The sequence below is a fragment of the Homo sapiens genome, chromosome 4 (assembly GCF_000001405.40).
Source record: "Homo sapiens chromosome 4, GRCh38.p14 Primary Assembly".
NCBI classification, from domain to species: Eukaryota; Metazoa; Chordata; class Mammalia; order Primates; family Hominidae; genus Homo; species Homo sapiens.
This window is the reverse complement of record NC_000004.12, coordinates 25,914,133-25,939,271: the sequence shown is the minus strand read 5'-3', so window position 1 is coordinate 25,939,271 and position 25,139 is coordinate 25,914,133. Positions and strand designations below refer to the sequence as shown.

General features: G+C 42.9%; 1 protein-coding gene across 2 annotated transcripts, besides 3 other annotated features; it reads right to left on the bottom strand.

Moving 5' to 3' along the window:
- Positions 1–9,459: 9,459 nt before the first annotated feature.
- Positions 9,460–25,052, bottom strand: SMIM20 (small integral membrane protein 20). Of its 2 annotated transcripts, NM_001145432.3 has the most exons (3): positions 24,850–25,052; positions 10,903–10,959; positions 9,460–10,118 (listed from the first exon to the last, which is right to left on the bottom strand). In NM_001145432.3, exons 1-3 carry the CDS (start codon positions 24,956–24,958, stop codon positions 10,081–10,083), a joined length of 204 nt encoding a protein of 67 aa, NP_001138904.1. In that variant the 5' UTR covers positions 24,959–25,052; the 3' UTR covers positions 9,460–10,080. The 2 variants fall into 2 exon arrangements, with proteins under 2 accessions (NP_001138904.1, NP_001381059.1); NM_001394130.1 differs by lacking the exon at positions 10,903–10,959.
- Positions 13,310–13,359: a silencer, noted in NCBI's record as "silent region_15329". NCBI's record gives its function as "represses an Ori minimal core promoter by ATAC-STARR-seq in GM12878 lymphoblastoid cells {active_cell/tissue: GM12878}" and the evidence as "EXISTENCE:reporter gene assay evidence [ECO:0000049][PMID:35858748]".
- Positions 24,807–24,936: an enhancer, noted in NCBI's record as "active region_21382". NCBI's record gives its function as "activates an Ori minimal core promoter by ATAC-STARR-seq in GM12878 lymphoblastoid cells {active_cell/tissue: GM12878}" and the evidence as "EXISTENCE:reporter gene assay evidence [ECO:0000049][PMID:35858748]".
- Positions 25,007–25,106: an enhancer, noted in NCBI's record as "active region_21381". NCBI's record gives its function as "activates an Ori minimal core promoter by ATAC-STARR-seq in GM12878 lymphoblastoid cells {active_cell/tissue: GM12878}" and the evidence as "EXISTENCE:reporter gene assay evidence [ECO:0000049][PMID:35858748]".

Below are 25,139 nucleotides of genomic sequence, written 5' to 3'. Positions count from 1 at the left end.
AAATATAGTCACATTCATAGGGATTTTGAGGGGACACAATTCAGCCCCTAATACCTACCATATTTGTGTGATCGTGTTAGGCGATTCTAGAGACTAGAGAAGCAACTGCTCTCATTTGTCTTCCTGTTCCTTTACTGAAAACACATCCAGGAGGCCAGGGCCTTGGGGACCAGCTGTAGCAAGGCCTCTGACACTCACTCCCTGCAATTACTCACATTGTCCCTGAAAACCACTGTGTTTGGCAAGAGCTGGTGCAGAGTTAATGGGGAGCTGAAACTGAACAACGAGTCACACATTTAGTCATTGAAGAAACAGAAGCAACCCTTTGGGGATTCTCAGTCTACTACCTAACTTATTCCACAACCCACGGACCTAACTTTCAAAGGGCAGAGACCATCAAAAACCAGTGCTGCTCTCTTGATTATAAAAACCAAAGAATGGTTTTGTGCTCAGGCATTTTATGTCTGTAATGTGAGTCCATATCGAGGGAGAGGAAAAATAAAAATAAAAAAAATCCATCTTAGAAAGCAGATTTTGCTTATTTCACAAGATGAATCACCAGAGCTGCCATTTTCCTAGTAATTTCAAAACCAGACGTTGGTTATTATTTTTTTCTAAACACAGTTGTCTTCATTAGGGCTGCTCAGAGGGAGTGTGCCCCTTTGGGTTTTCACTCAACCCAGCAAAGGTGGCAAGCTGTGTGCCCCTTATACATGTTTACCAGCATCGCGTTTATGAGGCTTAAGTGGCTCCGATGTTTTCCAGGGCACAGATACTAGCAGAAAAGTACAGACGCTGGCAACTTGCATTTGCCCAAATTGATTCCACATCTGCCTTAAGCGGACTGCTTCCTCTGATACAACTATGCTTTTTCTCCCCTTGCAAGACAGTGTATGCTATATTAGACGTTGAAAAATAAAGGGGATGTTTTAGGAAAGTAAAAAACAAGTGAAAGATTAGCCTGATGTTCAGAGAACTGCTGTGGGTTACTCTTCCTTCTTTGAAGAAAACTGAATAACTTTGCCAAGTTATAAAACATTTCAACCCTAGCTGTTTTGTTCACACTGCACAATCCATTAGTGGTGAAAATCTTGTTAGGGTAAAAAAAAAAACAAAAAAAAATAAAAAAACTCAACCAACAGAAACATCAGGAAACCTCATCTATCCAGAACAATGCAGAAACAGAAAGCAAATACCAAAAAACCTCAAGGCAGCCAAAACATCACAAAAACATTGTAGTTTACCCATACCAGAGCCTCTAAACCCGCATTAAAAGCATTTGCTTTCATTTGATGCCAGATTCCAGCATTTTGGCCAACTGCTTTCCAATCTCACTGCAGACTAGAAAGAGCAAATCAGAGAAAGTCAGAATCTGCTCCCTACAGCTGTGAGACAGGGCAGAGATAAGAAAACCAGAAAAGCCAGAAATTTCACAAGCACAGAAATGTACCCCAGCACAGAATGAAGGGGTAACTGTCTGACCCACCTCAACAGCCCTTAGGCACACTGTACAATAACAATAAGCCCAAGTCATAAAGAGAAGACTAAATTATATTTAACATCTTTTATTTAAGGTAGATATGCCATGTGGATTACATTTCAGAAAAATAGTTAAAATAAAATATAAAATGGAGATGCCTTGTTGCTGTGTATTGAATGTGCCTCCTAGGGTTCATGTGTTGGAAACTCAATCCCCAGTGCAACAGCGTTGAGAGGTGGGACCTTTTAAGAGGTGATTAGGCAGAGCCCTCATGAATGGATTAATGTCATTATCATGGGAGCGGGCTAGTTATCTTGGGAGTGGGTTCCTCATAAAATGATGAGTTTGGCCCCCTTCCCTGTCCCCCACCCAAATTCTCTTGCCCTTTTGCCTTCACCATGGGATGATACAGCACAGGGGCTTCACCAGATGCTGGCCCCTCAATCTTGGACTTCCCAACCTTCAGAACTGTGAGCCAAATTAATTTCTGTTCATTATAAATTACCCAGTCTCAGGCATTCTGTTATAGCAGCACAACATGAACTAAGACACCTGTCAATAATTTTTTGATTGCAAGTGACAAAAAATCCAAATTGGTACAAAAAGGGACTTTTTGACTTTGTTTTTAAATTCAGAGATATCTTTGCTTCAGACACGAGTGAATCCAGGAGGCCTGAATAACATCAGGACCCAGCTTCTATCTCCCTTCTACTTTGATGTTAGTCTCAAACTAGCTGTGCCCTCATGGTGGCAAGATAGCTGCCAACAGCTCCAAATTTTGGTAAACAAGAGCTCCTCCAGTCAACCACAAAGCCAGCAGGGAACATTAACTCTAGCTAGACCTGATTAGCTTGGTTTGAGTCACATGCTCATCCTGGATCCAATCCATGTGGGCAGGAGTCTGCGCAGTATTCTGATTGGCCAAACTTGGACCACATGCTTCCTCCTGGAGCATGGGGTGAAGTCAGCTCCACCCAAGCAGGGAGATAGAATGGGCCAGGGATGAGCAAAAGTGGGAGTGGAGGGTAGAAGTAGATGTGTCCATGAGCGAGGGAAAAAGATGTTGGGCAGAGAGAGCTGAAAAATGTCTACCAGGGCAGGTCAAGCCTGTGACTATCTAGGATACCCAGCATGACTCTTTCTTGAAGGCTCTGGGTATAATTCGTTTTACTGATTTTTTTAAGGTTGATTTATTTTCTTTCCTTCCTCCCTTCCTTCCTTCCTTCCTTCCTTCCTTCCTTCCTTCCTTCCTTCCTTCCTTCCTTTTTCTTTCTTTCTTTCTTTTTCGACAGAGTTTTGCTCTGTTGCCCAGGCTGGAGTGCAAGGCATGATCTTGGCTCACTGCAACCTCCGCCTCCCAGGTTCAAGCAATTCTCCTGCCTCCGCCTCCCAGGTAGCTGGGATTGCAGGTGCCCGCTACCATGCCCAGCTAACTTTTTTTGGTATTTTTAGTAGAGATGGGGTTTCATCATGTTGGCCGGTCTGGTCTTGAACTCCTGACCTCAAGTGATCTGCCTGCCTTTGCCTCCCAAAGTGCTGGGATTACAGGTGTGAGCCACCATGCCCAGCCCTTTTTTTAGGTTGATTTTCATCAATCAATTTTGAGATTGATTAAACACAGTAAATGTTTAAGAAGTAGATAGGTTAATGAATGAACAAGTATTTGGTAATGTTTTGAGATGCCTAACACCGTACAACACACACATGTACATGTAAACATACTTTTAGGAGTAGTTAGGATATATGCACATCATTATAAATAATACATACTTATTTAAAAATATTTTAAAAGAAAATATGTACAAGTAAGATTTAAACATAATTTTAAATGACTCTCTCATAGATCATCAAACACATTTACCATAGTTCTAGACTTAAATTGTTTCCAAATTGTTGTTAGTATTCTGTGATGAACATCTTTGTACACAAAGCTTTTTAAAAAAAAAAACAAGATTATCAATTTATGAAACAGTCTCAGAAGTGAAAAAATGTGGACATTTTAAGACCACTGACAAGGATATAATTACTTTTTTCATTTCACGTTTGATCGTGACAATAAAAAATGATCGTGACTCTGGAGTTTTTAATCATATGAGTAAATGCGCTTTTTTTGCACCCTTTGGGGTTGCGTTTTCTGTCACTTGCAACCAAAAGAGTCTGGAAAACTCACCTCATTGTTTGGTATCTTATTGTAGTCACGTGTGGTGACAGAGAGACTCTTAGGGAGAGGAGAAGACTTTGGAGTCTCTGTATTTGGCTTCCTCAGGTCTCCTGGGGAGCAGTGACTCCTTGTTTCTTCTCAGTGTGTTCAGGTGATCACAGCTGGAGGAAGATCACTAAGCAGAGCCGAAGCACTTAAGAGTGAGGGTCACCCAGCTGCTACCATCAATTGGCGATCCCAGGAAGGATGACCTGGCTGCCATCTCTTGGCTGAGATCTCGGCTCCAGGGAGGAGAGCTCCCTGGAGAGTGAATGCCACCGCCAGGCACGGTCCGTGGACCAGCACTGCAGCCTCCTGGGTGGTCTGCTTGTCTTCCCATGCACAGGGGACGCAATGAGTTGTAGGCTTTGTTACCAACAGGTAGAATGAATGGCAGAAGGCCTCACTGCACGCAGCAGGTGTGAGTGAAGCCGCGAAGACTGAAACTGCATGTCCATGAAGTCCCACCCAAGGCTAAGCAACAAGGGGTTTTCTTCTGCTGATGCTTCAGAACACAGGAGCCTCTAGGAGGCAGGGAACTCTTTCAGCCAGCTGAGCACACAGGACTTGTGAGCCTCGGACTGGCGTGGACCTGGAAACACCATCTGGGATCCATCCTTGAGGTTAGTGCTTCTCAAACTACCTGGGGCTGAGCACAGTTTTCTTTGTTTCTAGCTACCAATCCATGCTGACCGTTGTAAAATATGCTAAAAAGTAACGTTATTAGAAATTTGACAATACAAAAAATACAAAATGCAAGTCTGAGTTTTGCTCTATCAGATTCAAAATCTGAATCAAAATCTGATCAGAAATCAAAATTTCTGAATGCTTATTCTTCATTTCTTTATTTAGCTCTTTGTGGACAGTTAACAAACAGCCTTGAACTGCTCCGGCTACCACTATCATTAGAACTGCTCTGGGGAAAGCATGCTGGCTTTGTTTTAAAGTTTTCAGAACACCGTCGACTTAAAATGCTTCATGTCTCCTAACTTAAGTAAGGATTATCAGCTTGACATTTAAGGGAGTCCGCCACGTAGTCCTAAACTACATTCCCTTCCTCCATTCACTCATTCTTTCAGTTGATCAGTTAATCATTCTATCCCTCCAAATACTGACCAAGTGCCCACTCTACACCAAGCCCGCACCGGGTGGCAGGATACAGTGGTGCACAGGACAGGTAAAGCCCACGGTATAGTGATTTCCCCATCCACACCTGCATCCAAACCAAAGCAGCTCTCAAACTCTGCACCTTTGTCACCCACTGGATGTCTGACTCTCATTTCCTATGGCTCTGTTCGTGTCAGCTACTCCATCTATGATCAGCTGTCATTTATCTGGCCCCTGCCGTGTTCCAGATACTATAATAGGCACCCTACATACAGTATTCCTAATTTTCCCCAAAACTCTACAGGATCTTACTTACTATCCCTCCTGCCACCAAACAACATGGTTCTCCGGAAAGTTCCCTGATTTTACAATTAGATGCAACCTCTTTTTCTTCTAAAGTGTATCTCTGGACTTTTTTTCTTTTTCTTTCTTTTTTTTTTTCTTTTTGAGACAGGGTCTTGGTCTGTTGTTCAGGCTGGAACGTAGTAGCATGATCTCAGCTCACCGCAACCTCTGTCTCCCAGGCTCAAGCGATCCTCCCACCCCGGCCTCCCAAGTAGGTGGGACAACAGGCCCAAGCCACCAACCTTGGCTAATTTTTTTTTTTTGTATTTTTCATAGAGATGGGGTTTTGCCATTTGCCTAGGCTGGTGTTGAACTCCTGAGCTCGAGCCGTCTGCCCGCCTCGGTCTCCCTAAGTGCTGAGATTAGAGTCATGAACCACTGCGCCCAGCCTCTGCACTTAAAAACAAAAACAAAAAACCAACTTTTTTTATTGAAGTGTAACATACATTTAGAAAAGTAAACATATTTGTACAGCTCAATGAATATTCAGAAACTCAACACACCCATGTAACCTGCACCTAGGTAAAAAAATAGAACCCAACAGAACCCTGAACCCCTGCTCGTACCCCTTCCCAGTCCCTACCTCTATCCCTCCCTAAGAAGAGTCACTATCCTGCCAGGTGTGGTGGCTCATGCCTGTAATCCCAGCATTTTGGGAAGCCAAGGCGGGTGGATCAGAAGGTCAGGAGTTTGAGACCAGCCTGGCCAATATGGTGAAACCCCGTCTCTACTAAAATACAAAAATTTAGCCGGGTGTGGTGGTGCGTGCCTGTAGTCCCAGCTCCTCAGGAGGCTGAGGCAGAAGAATCACTTGAACCTGGGAGGCAGAGGTTGCAGTGAGCTGAGATTGCGCCACTGCACTCCAGCCTGGGTGACAGAGCGAGACTCCATCTCAAAAAACTAAACAACAACAAAACAGAAGAGCCACTATCCTGACCTCTACCTGTAGGGTTTAATTTTGCCTGTTTTTATTCTTCATCTAACTAGAACCTAAAAGTATGTATTCTTGCAACCGGCTTAGCTTATTCAGCATTGCTGGTGAGATTATATTGTTCATTCTCACTGTTGTATCCTACTCCATCCTGTGAATACATCAGTTTCTTCATACGTTGTATTGCTGATGGGCATTTGGGTAGTTTCCAGTGCTGCCATGAACATTCTAGAACATGTCTGTTGGTAAACTTGTGGATGCACTCTTGCTGCGTAGCCAGAAGCAGGACTGCAGGAACATGGGGTTTGCCTATGTCCAATGTTAGTTGATACTCTGACCTCTTTAAAGGCACTTTTAGTATTCTACATTATGTTAAACATATTTGTGAACTTACTTCATTTTCCTTACCAGAGCGTGATTTAGTGAGTACATATTATTTATGCCCTGCCTCATTTTAAAACAAGGGGTCTAACATGCAATATAAGATAGAAAACTGAAGTGAAAAGCAGGAAGGAAAATAAGGGCGGGAGGTGGGGTGTGGGGGATGAAGTGAACATAAGGTAATGGCCAAGATACATTCCACAAGGTCTTCAACACTTTTTAAGAAGCTGGTCTACAGGCCGTGTGCAGTGGCTCACACCTGTCATCCCAGCACTTTGGGAGGCCAAAACAGGCAGATGGTTTGAACCCAAGTTTGAGGTCAGCCTGGTCAACATGGTGAAACCCTGTCTCTATAAAAAATTAAAAAAAAAAAATTACCCATGTGTGGTGGTGCAAGCCTGTAGTCCCAGCTCCTTGGGAGAATGAGGTGGGATGATCACTTGGGCCCAGGAAGTCTAGGCTTCAGTGAGCCGTGATTGAGCCACTGTACTCTGACCTTGGTGACAGAATAAGACCCTGTCTCAATAAATACAAATAAAAAGAAATAAAAAATAAAAGCTAATCTACAAGTGTGGTTGAGCTTCCTGACAGCCAGTACAAAGAGGGAACGAAGGTACACAATTAAATGTTCACAAGATAAAAGTACCAACTGTTCAGCAATGTTGCTATTTCTGGTTCTGAGATTTAAAAAATGTAAATTCAAGTATTCCTACAGGGGATGTTATTTGACATTGAAAACGAAGATCCCGACTTCATTGCAGTAATAGCAGTAACAAATGTTAGTTTCTCCCCTTCCCTTCTAACCACGCTGAATATGGACATGCTCAAGCACAGTTCATTACAACTAACTCCTTAAAGGAATCAACACAATCCAGATACACAATTCTCAAAAGTCGTGACTAAAGAGGGAAAAAAAGTGGGTTCAAAGTATAGTCCAGGGACCACTAGGGGTCTCTGAAACCTTTCCAGGGGGTCTGCATGGTCAAAACTATTTTTAGAAAACGATTAAAGCTTTTTTGCCCTTTTTACACTCTTCCTTTTATGGATGTGTACAGAGGAGTTTTCCAGAGGCCATGTGATGTGTGATAGAGCAACAGATCGAATACAGAAGCAGATGTGAGAATCCAGCTATTTCCTGTTAAGCCAGACATTAAGGAGATTTGCAAGTTATTTTTTGTCTTGGAAAATAAATTTTTCCACACAAAAATGTCATATTAACCTATATGTTATTAATATTTTGAAATGACTTAATAAACATTTTTCAAATTTGCTTTAATTTCTAATACAGTAAGTATCTATAGATGTAACCCACATAAACAGAATCACTTTGGACTTCTTGATTTTTAAGAGTGTAAAGGTGTCCTGAGATTAAAAAGTTTAAGAATCTCTGACATAAAGGAAGATTTCCCCCAAAAGTTGCTGCTTGTTCCCAACTCCCAAGAGATAATCTATAAAAACTGTCCTGTGATCAAATGCATTTGGGAAATGTTATGCCTTTCTTGGAAATCAGAAAAATTAGAAGCAAATAAACATAATCAACTTTGTTTCTTAAATGGATTTGACTAAGGACCCCCTCTTTCAAGTGCTCTGTCATCATCTTAGGGGCACACCTGGGAAACTCATGGATAAATCGCAAGGCCCTCTGTCAGTCCTCATAAATAGCATCTCTTACAACTTGGCCTCTGTCACGTGTGGACAGCAGAGAGTCTGAAGTTAACATCTCTGGCAACATGAAGAGTGATCCTTTTATAAATGTCAAGGCAACTGAGCAGGACAGACAGCCCCTTTATCTCTGTAAAGAGGTGGGCTGAGGGCAGGAACAGGCCCGGGACAAAGACTCCACTCAGGAGATAAATCTGGGTCTGTTCCATCCAAGACAGTCAATCGAGTCCCCACAGTTCTTCTCTACAGAACTCAGACACAGTCATTTTAGCCTGGACATCTTCCAAAGCAGATGGTACCACATGCTCGCTTCGGTCATAAAGAAATCTCAATCATGCTCCCAAAGAATGTTTGACTTTAAGTTATATAACTTCCTGGTGCCCTTTCCAAAAAAAAAAAGAAGTGGTCAAATGTACCCCTAATGAGTCAACTTCTTTTACTGGATTGTGAACTGTAAGTCAATTAAATGTTAGGGAATGGGAATGCCTACCAAAAATGTTGACTTTGGTTTTAGAACTATCAACCTTAAGTCTTCTTGACAGTAATTACAAAATTGGGCCAGCTGTCTGTTAAGAAAACTCCAGGTTCACAATAATAAAATTATGTCATCAGGCAGCTCATAGACAGCTTACAGTAATGTGCAAGACACTCCGATATAAAAATGAAAAAAGTGTGCCACTTCAGAAGCGTATCATCTAGTAAGAGGTTAGACAGAGCAAAGGAAGAAGGAAGGAAAGGGAGGGAGGGAAGGAAAGAAAGAGGGAGGGAGGGAGGAAAGGAAAGACGACAGGTTGAGCATCCCTAATCTGGAATCTGAAATGCTCCAGAATCTGAAACTTTTTGAGCACCAACATGACACAAGTGGAAAATTCCACACCTGACCTCATGTGATGGTTTTAGTCAAAAGTTTGTTTCATGTACAAAATTATTTTAACATTATATCAAATTGCCTTCAGGCTATGTGTATAAAGTATATGAAACACAAATAAATTTCATGCTTAGACTTGGGTCCCATCCTCAAAATGTCTCATCATTTATATGCAAATATTCCAAAATCCAAAAAAATCTCAAGTCCAAAACACTTCTGTTCCCAAGCTTTTCTGGATAAGGGATACTCAACTAGTCTTCTCACTTTCATCTTTGCAGCACCTAGTGAGGTACCTGGTAGAGAATCACCATTCAATATTTGTCTCAACAAATTTGTTATTTACCTCTAAAACGTTTACCTGAGTACAAACAGATGAATCGCACACAGATACCTAGTCAAATATAATGTAGTCAAATTGTACTTCTCGGCACTATAATTTTAATTGCTTTACAAAAGATGATTTACAAAAAGACACCACTGCAAAGTAGAAATAAATCATTTTAATGTCTATTTTTTCACTTCTATTAATTGATTATTGATTTCTACACAAGTGTATGCATCTAGTTTGACTTGCTTCATATTTATTTTCCAACACGGTGCAATCTTCAGCATGAGGTGCACGAAGTACCTTGTCCTCAAAGAGCTTTATCAACTCGAACATTTTCGAAGAGCTCTATAAGGCAGCTCAGCATGGCAGTTTTTTACTGAAATCTCTTATCTGGAAGATGGCAGAAGAGACCCGGACCTTCCCGAGCCCACTGGTTGCTTGTATTCATATCACAGCTCGCTTGAGTAAGTGGTAACGACAGAATAATAAGCAGATTGCTCCTCCAAACCCAGCTGGGTGAGATAGCTTCATTTTTGGAAAATCAACTGAATCATGAAAACCTTCCTAATGGTATAATTTGTTCCAGAGTTCTTTTGATACTTAAGAAGGGAAATATTAATCCTTGTGCACAGTCTTTTATTACAAGCACTCTTATTTATGGTATTACAGAGTTTTCTTCTCCAGCCGTCATTCTCTGGTGAGGTGACTGGCTGTACCCCATGCAGAATCGAAAGCATGAAGAAATCTCCTTTCTTAATCAGAGCTGATGACAGCCCTCTCATTTCCTGCCAAATGGATCAGACCACACTTTTAACCCTATGGAAAGAAACAGGAACAAAAACAGGATTCATTTTTAAATGTCCTTCCACTTTCCTCCACCCCAAACAAACAAAATGACATCAGAACTGAGCTGTGCAATTTACAGTGTAGTTTGAGATGGTGTGAGCAGGCTGCCGGAACCTTGGCATTAAATGGCCAGGAAGCCATGGCTGCCATAAGGGACTTTTAAATGGCTCAGGAATTGTACCCCATAGCAGGAAGACCGACATCTGGCCTAGTTAAAAAATAAATAAATAAAAAAGAATGTTGCCACAGATTATAAGAGCTTTGGTTAATAAATGAGAAACCTCTCATTCCTGGCTAACTTGGATCCTCTGAAAGGAACTAACCATTCAGCCATAAAGGGAGCTTTTTAGCCCTTGTGCAAAGCAGAACCCCACATCAATTCAAACAGCTAACAAGTAAACACTATTTTCCCATGAGGGGAGTGTTTAAATAGGTGCTTGGTAAATAAGTCTGCCAAACAGCTATTCACGTCTCATATCGAATCACGCACTTGTTAACATTTTTATGCCCACTTATAAAATGGAAAAGAGGAACCTGGCAAACGTGCAAAAAGTATTCTGGAGTGAAATATTAGAATGACGCCTTGGGTGGCATCTATAAATGGCAACTGTTGAGAAATAAATAGCAAAATCACAATCTTGTCTCTAAGCTAAAAGGCATTTTCCCACTCTCCACGCCAAGGCAAACACACACAAACCCGCACAACACAGTAGTACAAATAAGATTTGGTTTTGATTTTTTTTTTTCAGTTTACCTGGTGGCTGCACATCCTCTTGAACAATTCCAGCCCGATTTATAGCTTGTTCCTTCTCTGAGAAACATAAGAGAAAAATCATTCTTTAGAAGGGGGGCGGGGAGAGAGAAATATTTGTATTTACATGGGCCAATGACATGGGACAATTAGAAAACAGTATTTATGAGTGCTGTTAAATTCAGATACGCTATTATGCAAAGCTTTTAGGTTGTGGAAGTTAGATCCTATAATGCAAAAGAGATTGGGTATTTTCAAAAGAATAAAGAAATCCATACTTCAAAAGAAAAGCTCCCCAACTAACATCTCTTCTCTGTGATCTCAGCATTTTGGAAAGACAAGAAAACAACAACAAAAAAAGAACAATTTTGAAAGAACTGGTGGGCGTGATATCACGAGGGGAAAGCTGCTGAATTGAAGGAACAAGTACAATTAAGAAAACGATGTAGTTTATATGTCTAAAATGCACTCCACCAAAGGACTAGACTCAGAGCTAAATATGCTATGTTTTTGATAGGAAATAGAGCAGAAAATTAATCTTTGGGTGGGTGGCTTTGGTTTGGATAATTGAAGCTTCCCTAATTGATTGCAGGTGCTGCGCCAATTAGCACATTGTAGCGACAGCAACTAAGCCAGTCTCTTTGGAGATGTCCAACAGGCAAGGGCCAAGAGAAATTGGGCATTTCATATCTGTGGGCTTGAAGCACTCTGACACATTTTTCTAAGTGGTTTAGAATAAACCCAAGGTCTGTAAAAACAAAGAGTTATTATTTTAAGTATCTTGACAAACAAATGACAGCTTTTCAGGAGAAAGCCTTAGAGCCAAAGGACGTTTACCACTAAATTATAGTAATGAAATGTCATAATCGGACCTTTGTTTTAATCAGGCTGACAGTGTTTCTTTAAATCCACATTTAGCTCTTATTTAGTATCAGGCCATTTTCTTTACTTTGGCCTCTGGATTCTCATAAAGTTACACAAACGTAACGGTACAAGAAACAGGGTTTGGCCAAATCTAATATTCATTGAACTTGCTTCTCTAGTCATGTGACAGAAAGTCAATCCTAAATGACCGACCTGATAGTTTTATCAATACTAAGTTTTGCTGTGGCAAATAAAACACTGGGCAATGGGGATTATGGGAATCCTGATATCCAAGTCTAAGAGGGATGGAGAGAACACATAGGATACTCAGGCCTATTCCAGGCAACAAGCGGCCTGATGGTTTCACTGCTCCTCTCTGAAAAGTAGCGGATGAATGGCAACCAAGATTCTCTCAAGATATATCAAAAGATTTCTTCCATTTAGAGTGGATATTATGGAGCCTCTAAAGTGTTAGACTTTCTGAAATAACACAAAAGGTGTCCTCATTTCTTAAGACATTAAATCATTGTAGAACTGAGCCCCACCATCCTATAGACATGTAAGTCTCAAAGTATGGATGTCTCGAACATGCTCTTGGAAGATACCAACATGTAAAAGCCCACAGTCATCAGTCTTGGCAGGAACAAAAATAGAATTAATTTTCTGTATCTAACTAAAAGGTCTATTTTCTGATACTATGGAAGAGGGAAGATTTGAGTTTTAAAAAATCACTATCAGAAAGCATTCTAGACTTAGAGATTTCATAAAATCAGACATCCTGGTGTACCAAACACATTGTCCAGAGGCAGGTACTGCAAGGCAAAAGAAGCTGGCAGACTGCCAAGCATCAAAGGAAGCTGACTTTTGGTGGCAAGGACCGAATGCCTAATTGGGTTCTAACCTCTTATGATGCAACGGAGAACCAAATGAAAAGAAAGAAATCCCTGTCTTCACACTTTCTTGCTAATTGCTAATGAGGCTGAAGCAAGGCTGAAGATTTATTTTAAATAGACCATAATCTCTTTATAATCCTTGTCCTAATGCAAACACCTCTGTAGTTTGGCTTGGTCAGGAAATTTAAACCACTTTGCTGAGCCAGTTCCTACCAAATGATAACCAGGTATTAGCATCCTATCTACATCCCCTGGTTCTTTAATCCATTAATGTTTTATAAATACTCTAAGGCCAAAGCAGTCTTATGTAAATTCATGATGTAACACAAAGACACTTTATCTGTGAATGCAGAATACTCTAAAAGGAAAACAGAAACGAGTCCCTCACGATTTAGCAGTGCATCTTGATTGAGGTTGACAGTAAGCTTCTATTTCCCTATCTTTGGAAAAGAGCAAATGTATATAAACCTCAGGAAAAGGGAAATGGCAGAAGTCAGGGGTTTAACTATGTAAACAAATCAGGATAAACTTATTACCAATTTCACTAGTGAGCACATTTCTATCAGGAGTGAAATAATTTAAACCCAAATATGGCACACCGGGTTAAAAAACTCCCCACTCCAGTGTCTCAGCAAGCCCGACTCTGCCCCCTGGTGCTAAGGCAGTGGTGTGATTTGTAGTTTTAATTGAGGACGTTATCTCTGGTCCAGGGGCCAAAGTGTATTATTAAAACTAGTAATACATGCAGACCGGCTGATTTTTTGTACGATAGTAAAAGAATCTACCTAATAATGTTGAAGTCTTTAAAAACAAAAACATATCCTTATATTAAATGTCCACACCGGAAAATACATCGACTGTGTGACTTGTTACTTGAACATTCACAACAATGCAAACACTGCAGGATACTCAAGCCCCAGCTCCCTCAGCAGTCTCAGGATTATTCGTTGAGGGTGCTCTAGTGGAGGACCAGCAGACAGAAACCTAAAATAAAAAAGCAAATGAAAGCTGGTGCAAGGTATGACCTTGGGAACCTACCTCCCTATTTCTTCCTGCCAATAAATACTTAAAAGCAACTCTGCCGGGCGCAGTGGCTCACACCTGTAATCCTAGCACTTTGGGAGGCCGAGGCGGGTGGATCACCTGAGGTCAAGAGTTCAAGACCAGCCTGGCCAACGTGACGAAACCCCATCTCTACTAAAAATACAAAAATTAGCCAGGCATGGTGGCGGGCGCCTATAATCCCAGCTACTTGGGAGGCTAAGGCAGGAGAATTGCTTGAACCTGGGGGTCAGAGGTTGTAGTCAGCCAAGATCATGCCACTGCACTCGAGCCTGGGCGCAAGAGCAAAACTCTGTCTCAAAAAAGAAAAATAAAAAAATAAAATAAAATAAAAGCAACTCACAACTTGAATTGTGACAAATGGCAAAATTTGAACGTGGGCTGTATATTCCATACAAGTTGAATATCCCTTATCTGAAATTGGTTGAGAACAGAATTGGTTTGGATTTAGGATTTTTTTCAGATTTTGGAATATTTACATATATATATAACAAGATATCTTGGGGATGGGATCCAAGTCTAAACATTAAATTCATTTGTTTCACATACATCTTATATACATAGACTGAAGATAATTTTATACAATGTTTTTAATAATTTTGTGCATGAAACTAAATTTATATTAAGTACTTATGTGTGGTATTTTCCACTTGTGTCATTTTGGAACTCAAAAAATTCCAGATTTTGGAGCATTTTCCATTTTCAGATTAGAAATGCTCCAACTGTAATAGCACTGTATCAACGTTAAATTTCTTAGATTGGAAAACCGCATTGTGATTACATAAGAGAATGCCCTTGTTCTTCGGAAATACAGGCTGAAGTGTTTAGGAATGAAAGCTCACAATGTCTTTGACCTACTCTCAAATGGTTCAACAAAATAACAGTAATAATTATAATATATAGTACATATAACTATATCTGTATATATGTATGTATCTGTATGTTATATATAGGGGGAGAAAGCAAATGTGGCAAAATGTTAACAACTGGTAAATCAAGGTGAAGGACAATATAGGAATTTACTGCACTGTTCTTGGATCTTTTGTCAGTTTGAGTTTCTTTTGTTTATTTATTTATTTTTTGAGAAAGAGTCTTGCTCTGTCACCCAGGCTGGAGTACAGTGGCGTGATCTCGGCTCACTGCAACCTCTGCCTCCCAGGTTCAAGTGATTCTGCTGCCTCAGCCTCCCCAAGTTTGAGTTTCTTTTTTCACTAACAAAAACCACATAACTGTACAACATGCATACGAAAAGTCCAACACCATTTTGACTCTTCCATGGTGATTATTTCAAAGAAGCTATCTTTTAAAAAGTAGCAAATATAAAATTTTTTTCAAAAGCTTTTCAGTTGCTTTTGTTGCTGCTGTTACCTAGATACATACACCATCTGCCTCTGGGGTATTCCAGAACTGGAGGTTCACTGGTGGTGAGTGTGAACCAGGGGCCAAGGGGAAGCCATATGACCGCAGCAGCAAGTGCAACCCAGTTGGCTGAAGGGGACCAAATGGACGTGGTGACAAGAAAGAACCAGGGACGGAGGGGAAGCCATATGACCACAGGAGCAAGTGTGACCCAGTTGGCTGAAGGGGACCAAGTAGCCACTTGAAGCACTGCACTCCTCCCAACAGTGTCAACAGGTCTGTTTCCTCACCAGAGCCTGGTTGAATCCAGGGAACTGTGTAATGCCAGTTAGAAAACAAGACCCAGTCTGCCTGCGCATTTCATTCGATTATGTGGTGAAAGGACTGAAAAGCATATTCTAAGCACCTGGCATGTCACAAGGAAAATGCCCTGACAAGGTAAGAATTCTTTCTGCATCAGGTGATTTCCAGTACCGTGTGCTGCCTAGGCATAGCCTCCTTTTGGGCAGGGGCAGCAAGGTGCAGCGGAAATCAACAGGACTGAGAAGCAGCAGAACTGAGGTCTCACAGCTCTCCCCTGTGGCCTTTCACTTGGCTGGCTGTTGAACATTCTTCACTGTCTGAAGGCATCATGAGGCAGGGCATTAAGTACAGGCAAGGTCAAGGAGTTAGGGCCTAGTGTCCACCCAGCAACTAATGTGCTGAGTAACCTTGGACAAGTCACTAAATGAGGGGACGGAAATGAGCTCAAGCCCCTTCTGGTCAAACCCTATGATTTTATGCTTCTGAACATCCAATTAAAATTTCAAATGAAAAGGATCACAGAAAATGATCTTATTCTGTCTAATTTCACAGGCTGGCCTCAAATGCATGTTATTTGTAAAAGGCCATATTCAGGGTCACTGTCTAGTTCTAGGAAACAAAGACAGATTAGCCATCTGTACTCTTCCCTAACTGTGGCCTCTTCAGACCAAACATGCTATGCCAACAGGGTGAAAGCTAAAAAGTGTCTGGGACTCCCTCCAGAAGTACAGCAGAACTGTACCCAGACTTCTGGTTTTGGGTCACTGACCCACTGATGCCATCATCTGTCCAGCGCTCATTTCAGTACTTGAGGTATCATGTACAGAACTGCCTTGTACTCCACATAACACTTAGGAAAGCCTTGCTAAGTTAACGAAAGAACTGAAGATCATGCTGAACGCCAAAATGAAATCCAATAAGGCAGTCTGGTGATAGTGGCTGCCTGCTCTGCAACCATGGAAGATCTCCTTGGCTTTGTTTTACCTAAGCAGGCTTCCCCTTCTTTTCTGCTGCCTGTATGCTTGTTCCAGCAGAGACCCTGGAACGTACCTGTCCCCATATCCATGCTGGCACAGGTGAAGGGCCCGGACTGATCTGACACTTGGCTCTACATGGACTGCCTTGCCAGTTGCCAGCCCTAAGTCTTGCTTTTACCAGTAACCCAGTTCTCAGGGAGTAGGCTTCTGCCCTGTCCATCCAAGAATGATGGGCTTCTGCCCCACAGTCTCAGGATCCTGGGGAATGAAATGTATGAAGGACGGTCAGGAGAGAAGGCCTAACAAGAAAGGCTAACAGGAGTGGCTGAAAGGCAGGAGCAAAAGAGCAAACCCAGGAGGACCTTCCACGGTGGAGAGGCCCAGGGAAGACAGTGCTCCAAGGAAGGAGAGGATGGCCTAGAGTTGGTGCCTCTTACTCATAAATGACCTGACTTCCTGTGTCACAAAGAGAATAGACGCCATCACCTGGAAGTGCCCACAACTTGCCAACATCAAACCTAGATATGGCAGCATCCACACCATCCTTCCTCCTGAGCTGGTGGAAGAGGTGCCTTGCCTTTGGTCCAAGGCTCTTTCCTCTACTTGAGCTCAGGATCTCATGTCACCTCCCACTCTACGGACTGTCTTCTCTCTCCAGCAGCTTTCTCTGTCTAAGACTTTCTTGGCCCTCCATCTCTTCCAGCCAAAACTAAAAGAAAACTCTTCCCAGACCCTGTGACCTGCTGGAAACTTTGCCATTCTCCTCTCCATACAGCTAAACATCTATAAATAGTCAACTTAATACACTATTAATAGTCAACTTAATACACTTCAATCCACTGCAACCTGCCTTCTGCCTACTTCCAAACCACTGAAAGCATGTTTAACAATATAACCAATCACTTCTAACTTATTTCTGTTAAATATAATTCATATTTTCACTTATCTCTTTTACTGTCTCTAAGCAGCCTAACCCTGCTGACCACACTCCCTTTTCATGAAGAGCTGTCTTTATGGGGCTTGTGACTGCAGCCTCTCCTGGTTTAAAACCTGTCTAGCCACTCCTCCTCAGTCTCCTTAGAGGGCCTTTCTCTTCCTCTGACCCCCTATGCTTCAGCCCTTCTGACACTGGTGTTCCCCAGCACACTGCCCCGGGCCAGCTTGCCCCTTACAATCTCTGAATGCTGCCTGGGAACCCTTACCTACTGCAGTGACCTGATTCCCAGCCACGTGCTGATGATGCCCCATCTCCAGCTGCAGCTCACATCCGGCGTCTCAGCCCCAGATCGGTATATTCCATTGTCTATGGGAAATCTCAAAGAGCACATCAGCTACCTCAGCCTCAAAAGCTACCCAAATGCCCAAAAGCAAACTAACTTGTCTTTTCACCCCTAAAACCAATTCCTTCTTGTGTTTTCTAGCTAATGACCAGCATCTCCATCTCCTCAGCTGCTGGAGCCAGAACACTGGGTGCCATTCTCCTTCTTTGCCCCGTGGCTAATCAGCCACAGACCCCTGTAGAGTTTACTTCTTTTCTTTTTTTTAAATGAGACAGGGTCGCGCCATGTTGCTCAGGCTGGTTTGAACTCCTGGACTCCAGCGATCCTCCTGCGTCAGCTTCCCAAAGTGCTGGGATTACAGGTTTGAGCCACCATGCCCACCAGTTTGCTTCTTAAATATGGCTCCCAAATGCAGTCACTTATCTCCACTCCCATAGCCACCACTCTGGTCTCCCTGAGGTCACAGGAAACACAGCCTTCCCGTACCTGGCCTTCCTGTCCCCAGATTTGACTTTTCCACCTTCTAGTTAACATACAATCAATCAGAGTGATGCTTGTAAAGAGTGAATATGATCACTGCTCTTACTAACATACAGTCCTGTGTCACTCATCTGTGGGAGTACATTCTGAGAAATGCGTCCTTAGGTGATTTCATTGTTGTGCAACCATCATAGAGTGTACTTGCACAAACCTAGACAGTGTAGCCTACTACACACCCAGGCTATGTGATATAGCCTATTGTTCCTAGGCTACAAACCTGTACAGCCTGGTACTGTACTGAATACTGCAGGCAACTGTAACACATGGTAAAGATTTGTGTGTCTAAACATAGCTAAACTTGAAAAGGTACAGTAAAAACACTGTATAAAAGATTTTCCAAATGGTGTACCCAAATAGGATATTTACCTTGAATGAATCCTGCAGGAGTGGAAGTTGCTCTGGGTGAGTGAGTGGTGAGTGAATGTGAAGGCCTAAGACATTACTGTACACTACTACAGACTCTATAAACACTGCACACTTAGGCTACACTACATTTATTGTTTAAAATTTCTTTCTTCAGTAATAAATGAACCTCAGCTAGCTTTTTTACTTTATAAACTTTTAAATTTTTAAAACTTTTTGACTCTTATAGTAACATTTAGCTTAAAACACAAACATCTACAGCTGTACAAAAATATTTTCTCTTTATATATCTTCATTCTATAGACATCTTTCTATTTTAAAATTATTATTATTTTTTCCTTTTTAAACTTTTGTGTGAGAAACTAAGATACAACATATATATTAGCCTAGGCCCACACAGGGTCAGGATCATCAGGACATCACTAGGCGACAGAAATTTTTCAGCACCATGATAATCTTATGGGACCACTGTCATACATGGTCTATCGCGGGCCAAAATATGATACAGCACATGACTATACTTCAATAACCCTCCACTGGCTGGACTTCCAAGACACCAAAGGGTTACTGGAGCACTGTAATTAAGCAAGTGAGATGATTAAATTTGGATGGCGTGACAAACTTTTCAAAAACCATGGCAGAAGACCTGCAGTTCTATACATTTTCCAATAGACAAAAACAGAGGTTCCCAGTTACAAATTCTTACCAAAGAAGTAGTAACAGATGTATGTCAGAAGGGAGAAAACTGAAGCTAGAAAGGAGTGAAATGTAAGCAGCGTCGGTGAGTAAAGAACGCGGGTGAAGATAAACAGTCAGTGACCATATACAATAGTGATGGTGTTAACTGATTTGCTGAGTCACAGGCACCAGGCAGGACAAATATATTATGTCAGGTGCATGGGACAAAGGTTAAGGCATTATAAGGACCTTGTATTGTTCAAGGGTAAAGACACTGACTAACTCTAAACTTTATAAAAGAACAAAAATAGAATTTAAAACTTTCAAACTAGTAGCGGGAAGAGAAGAATAAAGAAGGCTTGAGGCAGAAAAGAAGAAAAAAAGGAAGCATAGAAATAGAACAGAAGGCCGGGTGCAGTGGCTCATGCCTGTAATCCTAACACTTTGAGAGGCTGAGACAGCCGGATTGCCTGAGCTCAGGAGTTTGAGACCAGCCTGGGCAACATGGTGAAAGCCCATCTCTACTAAAATACAGGAAAAAAAAAAAATTAGCCGGGCGTGGTGGCATGTGCCTGTAATCCCAGCTACTTGAGAGGCTGAGGCAGGAGAACTGCTTGAATCCAGGAGGCAGAGGTTGCAGTGAGCCGAGATCTTGCCACTGCACTAACAATCTGGTGACAGAGCAAGACTGTCTCAAGAAAAAAAAAAGAAGACACAAAATGAGGTGAGAAAAATAAATGCAAATATATCAGTAAATAGAATAAATGAAAATTAATCCAATCCAATAGTTAAAAGAGCTTATCAGGTTGGATTAAAATATCTAGTTTATGTTGGTTTTAAGATATTCACAGGCCAGGCGCGGTGGCTCACGCCTGTAATCCCAGCACTTTGGGAGGCCGAGGCGGGTGGATCATGAGGTCAGGAGATCGAGACCATCCTGGCTAACAAGGTGAAACCCCGTCTCTACTAAAAATACAAAAAATTAGCCGGGCGCGGTGGCGGGCGCCTGTAGTCCCAGCTACTCGGGAGGCTGAGGCAGGAGAATGGCGTGAACCCGGGAAGCGGAGCTTGCAGTGAGCCGAGATTGCGCCACTGCAGTCCGCAGTCCGGCCTGGGCGACAGAGCGAGACTCCGTCTCAAAAAAAAAAAAAAAAAAAAAAAAAAGATATTCACATAAGGACAAAGTCTGCGTGTATAAGGAGAGAAACAGATAAGCTAGGAAAATATTAAAAGAAATCTGGGCTGGGAGCAGTGGCTCATGCCTGTAATCCCAGCACTTTGGGAGGCTGAGGCAGGTAGATCACCTGAGGTCAAAGAGTTCGAGACCAGCCTGGCCAACATGGTGAAACCCCGTCTCTAGTAAAAAATACAAAAAAATAGCCAGGCGTGGTGGTGGGCACCTGTAATCCCAGCTACTTGGGAGGCTGAGGCAGGAGAATTACTAGAACCTGGGAAGCGGAGGTTGCAGTGAGCTAAGATCACACCATTGCACTCCAGCCTCCAGCCTAGGCATCAACAGCGAAACTCCATCTCAAAAAAAAAAGGAATCTGGTAGCACAATAAAATCAGATAAAATAGAGATGGGGAAGAACAGTGGAGATAAAGATAATTCTTATATAATGATAATTAGAAAAAATTATCCAGAATTTTCTAGATTGTATGCACCTAATAACATGGCCACAGGACATCCAAATACAAACAGAATTAAGAAGCTTGATCTGTAATTAACATACACAGATACAGAACTCTGTACCCAACAAGAGAACAGCCACCATTCCAAGCACACAGGGAATATTTACAAAAACTGACCTGGGCCAGGCGCGGTGGCTCACGCCTGTAATCCCAGCACTTTGGGAGGCCGAGGCAGGCGGATCACGAGGTCAGGAGGTCGAGACCATCCTGGCTAACACGGTGAAACCCCGTCTCTACTGATAATACAAAAAATTAGCCGGGCGTGGTGGCGGGCACCTGTAATCCCAGCTACTTGGGAGGCTGAGGCAGGAGAATGGCGTGAACCCGGGAGGCGGAGCTTGCAGTGAGCAGAGATCACGCCACTGCACTCCAGCCTGGGCGAAAGAGCGAGACTCTGTCTCAAAAAAAAAAAAAACAAAAAAAAAAAACTGACCTGTACCAGGCCCCAAAGCAAGTCTTGACCAGTGTCAGAGAATCAAAATCATATAGTCCACATTCTCTGACCATAAATGCAAATAAGATAGAAACCAGCAACCAAAAGTCACCAGAAAAGACCACTGTGGCTGCTAGGTAGAGAATGGGTAGTAGGTGGGACACAATGGAAGCAGCTCAGTCCCAGGAATGGGTGGAGCGAGGTGGACAGGACAAGGGTAGGAAGAGCATGATGGAAGGAAGTGACTGACCATGCTGTTTGGTTAGGTGCAGTCCACACCCAGCACAGTGCCAGGCACCCAGCGATTGCTAGAATCCAGGTTTCTTCTAAAAAAGAGAGTGCTAAATAAATGCTAGTTGAATGTGTTGGAATGAGCTGAAGATCCGACCACACAGTGGGTTTCCATGACCTGATCATGAACACCTCATCCCAGTTTACTGCTAGGTCAGCCAGCTCCAGGCCTATCCACCTGCTAAAATCTCCATGTCTCACATTCCTGCCCTTGTGGCTCATTATTTTGTAAACATTTTAATAAAATATCTAATATAAGACTATAGTAGGTGTTTCCACACCTGTTACCCCATTTAATTCACCCCAAACCCTGTAAATTCAATCCAGTGAACTACACTGCTACAGATGAGGAAACAGGCAGGGCTCAGAGAAGTGAAGTAACTTAGATGAGGGTCATTCATCTAGTAGGCTATGCAGACACTCATCTCCCCCATTGCCTTTTCTTGCCCCCTTAGACAAGCAGTATGCTGTCTTGGTTTAGGGATTAAGGATATTAATTCAAGTCCCAGATCTGTGACTCATCAGCTGTAGGTCCTTGTGTAAGTAATTTAACTGTTTCACACCTCAGTTTGTCCACATATAAAATGGGGATGATGATCATATAGCAGCTGCCACAAAGGGCTGTTATCAACACTAAATGGGTTAATATATAGGAAGTGCTTAGAAGAGTGCCAAACATATAGTAAACTTCCCACAAATATTACCTGTTCAGCAATATTTACCTGTTTAAAAGAATCAGTTGCTGGCACTGAAGGCGAAAGCTGTGTAAACGCTCTGCCCATTACAAATGTTACAGCAGTCAGTTTGTAACACTAGCACTTTGGGAGGCTGAGGCAGGAGGATCGCTTGAGGTGAGGTGTTTAAGACCAGCCTGGCCAACATGGCAGAATGCTGTCTCTACTAAAAATACAAAAATTAGCCAGGACTGGTGGTGCATGCCTGGATTCCCAGCTACTTGGGAGGCTGAGGCACAAGAATCACTTGAACCTGGGAGGCAGAGGTTGCGGTGAGCCGAGATCATGCCACTGCACTCCAGCCTGGGCGACAGAGGGAGACTGTCTCAGAAAAAAGAATCAGTTACGATCCCCAGAAAAGAGTTGGCCAAATTAATCAAAATGGAACCAGAGGCCAGGCGTGGTGGCTCACACCTATAATCCCAGCACTTTGGGAGGCCAAGGCGGGTGGATCACCTAAGGTCAGGAGTTCGAGACCAGCCTGGCCAACATGGTGAAACCCTGTCTCTACTAAAATATACAAAAATTAGCTGGGCATGGTGGCAGGTACCTGTAATTCCAGCTACTCAGGAGGCTGAAGCAGGAGAATTGCTTGAACCTGGGAGATGGAGACTGCAGTGCGCCGAGATCAGGCCACTGCACTCCAGCCTGGGTGACAGCGGAAAAAAAGAAAAAAAAACAAAAAGGAACCAGAAAAGTGGGAAGGCACAGACTGCCTGCCTTCTAGTTAAAAATGCAGATATTATAGTTACATTCACTAAATGTTCACCCACAGATGAACATCACCTGATTTGTCTGTCTCAAGACATTCAGACAACCACAGATTCTGGAGTATCCCTAAAAGACTGTTGCTGGGATACACAGTACAAGTCCCCATCTTGACCATTTCATCTCAAGCAGGGTTTCTCAACCAAGGCACCACTCGAATTTTAAGCTGGGTAATTCTTTGTCATGGGGGTCTGTCTTGTATGCACTGCAAAAAGTTTAGCAGTATCCCTGGCATCTATCCACAAGAAACCAGTAGCAACACTCGACCCCCCCCCCGCCCCATCCCAAGTTGTGACAAGCAAAAATGTCTCCAGATTGAGCCAAATATCCTGCGGGGCAAAATCACCCCTAGATGAGAACCACAGCTCTAGTTTTCAGAACTGACTTTTCCAATGGGATGCAAAGCAGACCCTTTGTCCCAAGTTCTAGTGGCCTCAATATAATCGCTGGGGCAGGCGTCCGCTGAAGAAGGATGGTGGAAACAGATCCCGCAGGGCTTCACACAGCCCACCTTACTCCCACGCATGGTGCATGCAGATAAGCTGGAAGGCAGAACACAGTGGCCATTTCAGTCTTGGCTAATGAAAAGAAGCTACAAGGAAATCTGAGTGTGCACTTAAAACGCTCTGCCTCCAGAAATCGACTGCTGCAACATTTGTAATGGGCAGAACATTTACACGGAGCTTTCGCCTTCAATTCGCCAAGCTTTCAGTGTCCGTTAATATTCCCAAGGGACAGGGTTGGCCCTCTTCCATCTTCAAGATGATTCGGGTTTCCTGGTGAACAAAATGAGCCTCTAATGCCTAATATTTTCTGTCTGACAGATGGTTTCAGATGTATCAAAGTGCTAATCCTTGCTGAGGTATAGGTCTCAAGGAAGAAGAGTTTGGCTTTTAGAATGATAGGACTGGAATGATTAAGAAGGAAAATTACTCCCAGGATTTCACCATTACCATGTGAGCAATCGGCTTAAAACGAAGGAAACAAGCAGAATCGGAAAAACAATTTGAGGAAAAAGAAGAGAAAACACTACAAACCCCAGGTTAACAGTTTGGGTTTGAAACAGTCCCACTCAAAAAACATCTTGGGGAGTGGAAATGAAGTGCAGTAAAAGCACCTTTCCACTCAGAAGGATCAGGGTTCCATCTGGCTCCCCCAGTCACCATTCTCAGCCTGGGTGCTTGGAGGAGGCTCTGGACAGAGGCCTGGGGTTGGATATATTTGCCTTGTCACTTACTTGCTGTGTGACCTTGGGAACGTTATAAAACCTCTGAGCCTCTCAGTTCCCTCATTTGTAAAATGGGCATGTTTTACATATATACTTCAAGGTGAGCTTGTGCAAATGAAACGATCCAACATATGCCTAACCTGACGTGTAATAGGCATTCAGTGAATTTTAACTGTAAATATGAACTGGTACTTAGCGTCGACTTATGTGAGGACTGCTTTCATATACATGATCACCTGAGTCTCACAGGAGGCTCGGCATTTTAGCATAGATGACGTAGCCACAAACATTCACAGATGAGGATACTGAGAGTCCTAGAGGTTGAGCAACTTGTCCACGGTCACAAAGCTGCACATGGCAGGATTCGAACCCGGCTCTCCCTAACCCTCGAGCCAAGTTCTTTCCACGGCACCACGTGGAGCTCACAGAGGGGAGGTGTGTGTGTTGGGGAGTCAGGTCACCGCAAGGGGTTAGAGATCACTCACTGTACTCCTCCAATCTCATTAGGGGCCGGAAGTAGATGGGATAGAAGGCGGCGCCGATCAGGGAGATGAAGCCGCCGAAAATGAGCGCGGTGCGCAGGTTCCGGGACATGGCGTCAGGCCCCGGGCTGCCCTGACCCGCCGACCGCCCGGCACTCTCGGAAACCAGGTTACCGACGGCCGGGCCGTGACCCCGCTCGGAAGAGGTGGAGAGGCTTTCGCTTCCGGGCCTTGAGGGAGGGACGAGGAGGAGGGGCGGAGCGGAGAAAGAGACAGGGGTGGAGTCAGAGGCG

Bases quoted from the DNA above. Each gene is read 5' to 3' on its own strand.
- SMIM20 (NM_001145432.3), bottom strand. From the start codon at position 24,958: ATGTCCCGGAACCTGCGCACCGCGCTCATTTTCGGCGGCTTCATCTCC. The intron at 10,960-24,849 runs GTGAGTGATCTC...TATGTTTCTCAG, and splicing joins AATGAGATTGGAGGAGTACA to AGAAGGAACAAGCTATAAAT. The intron at 10,119-10,902 runs GTAAACTGAAAA...TTCTTTCCATAG, and splicing joins AGAGGATGTGCAGCCACCAG to GGTTAAAAGTGTGGTCTGAT.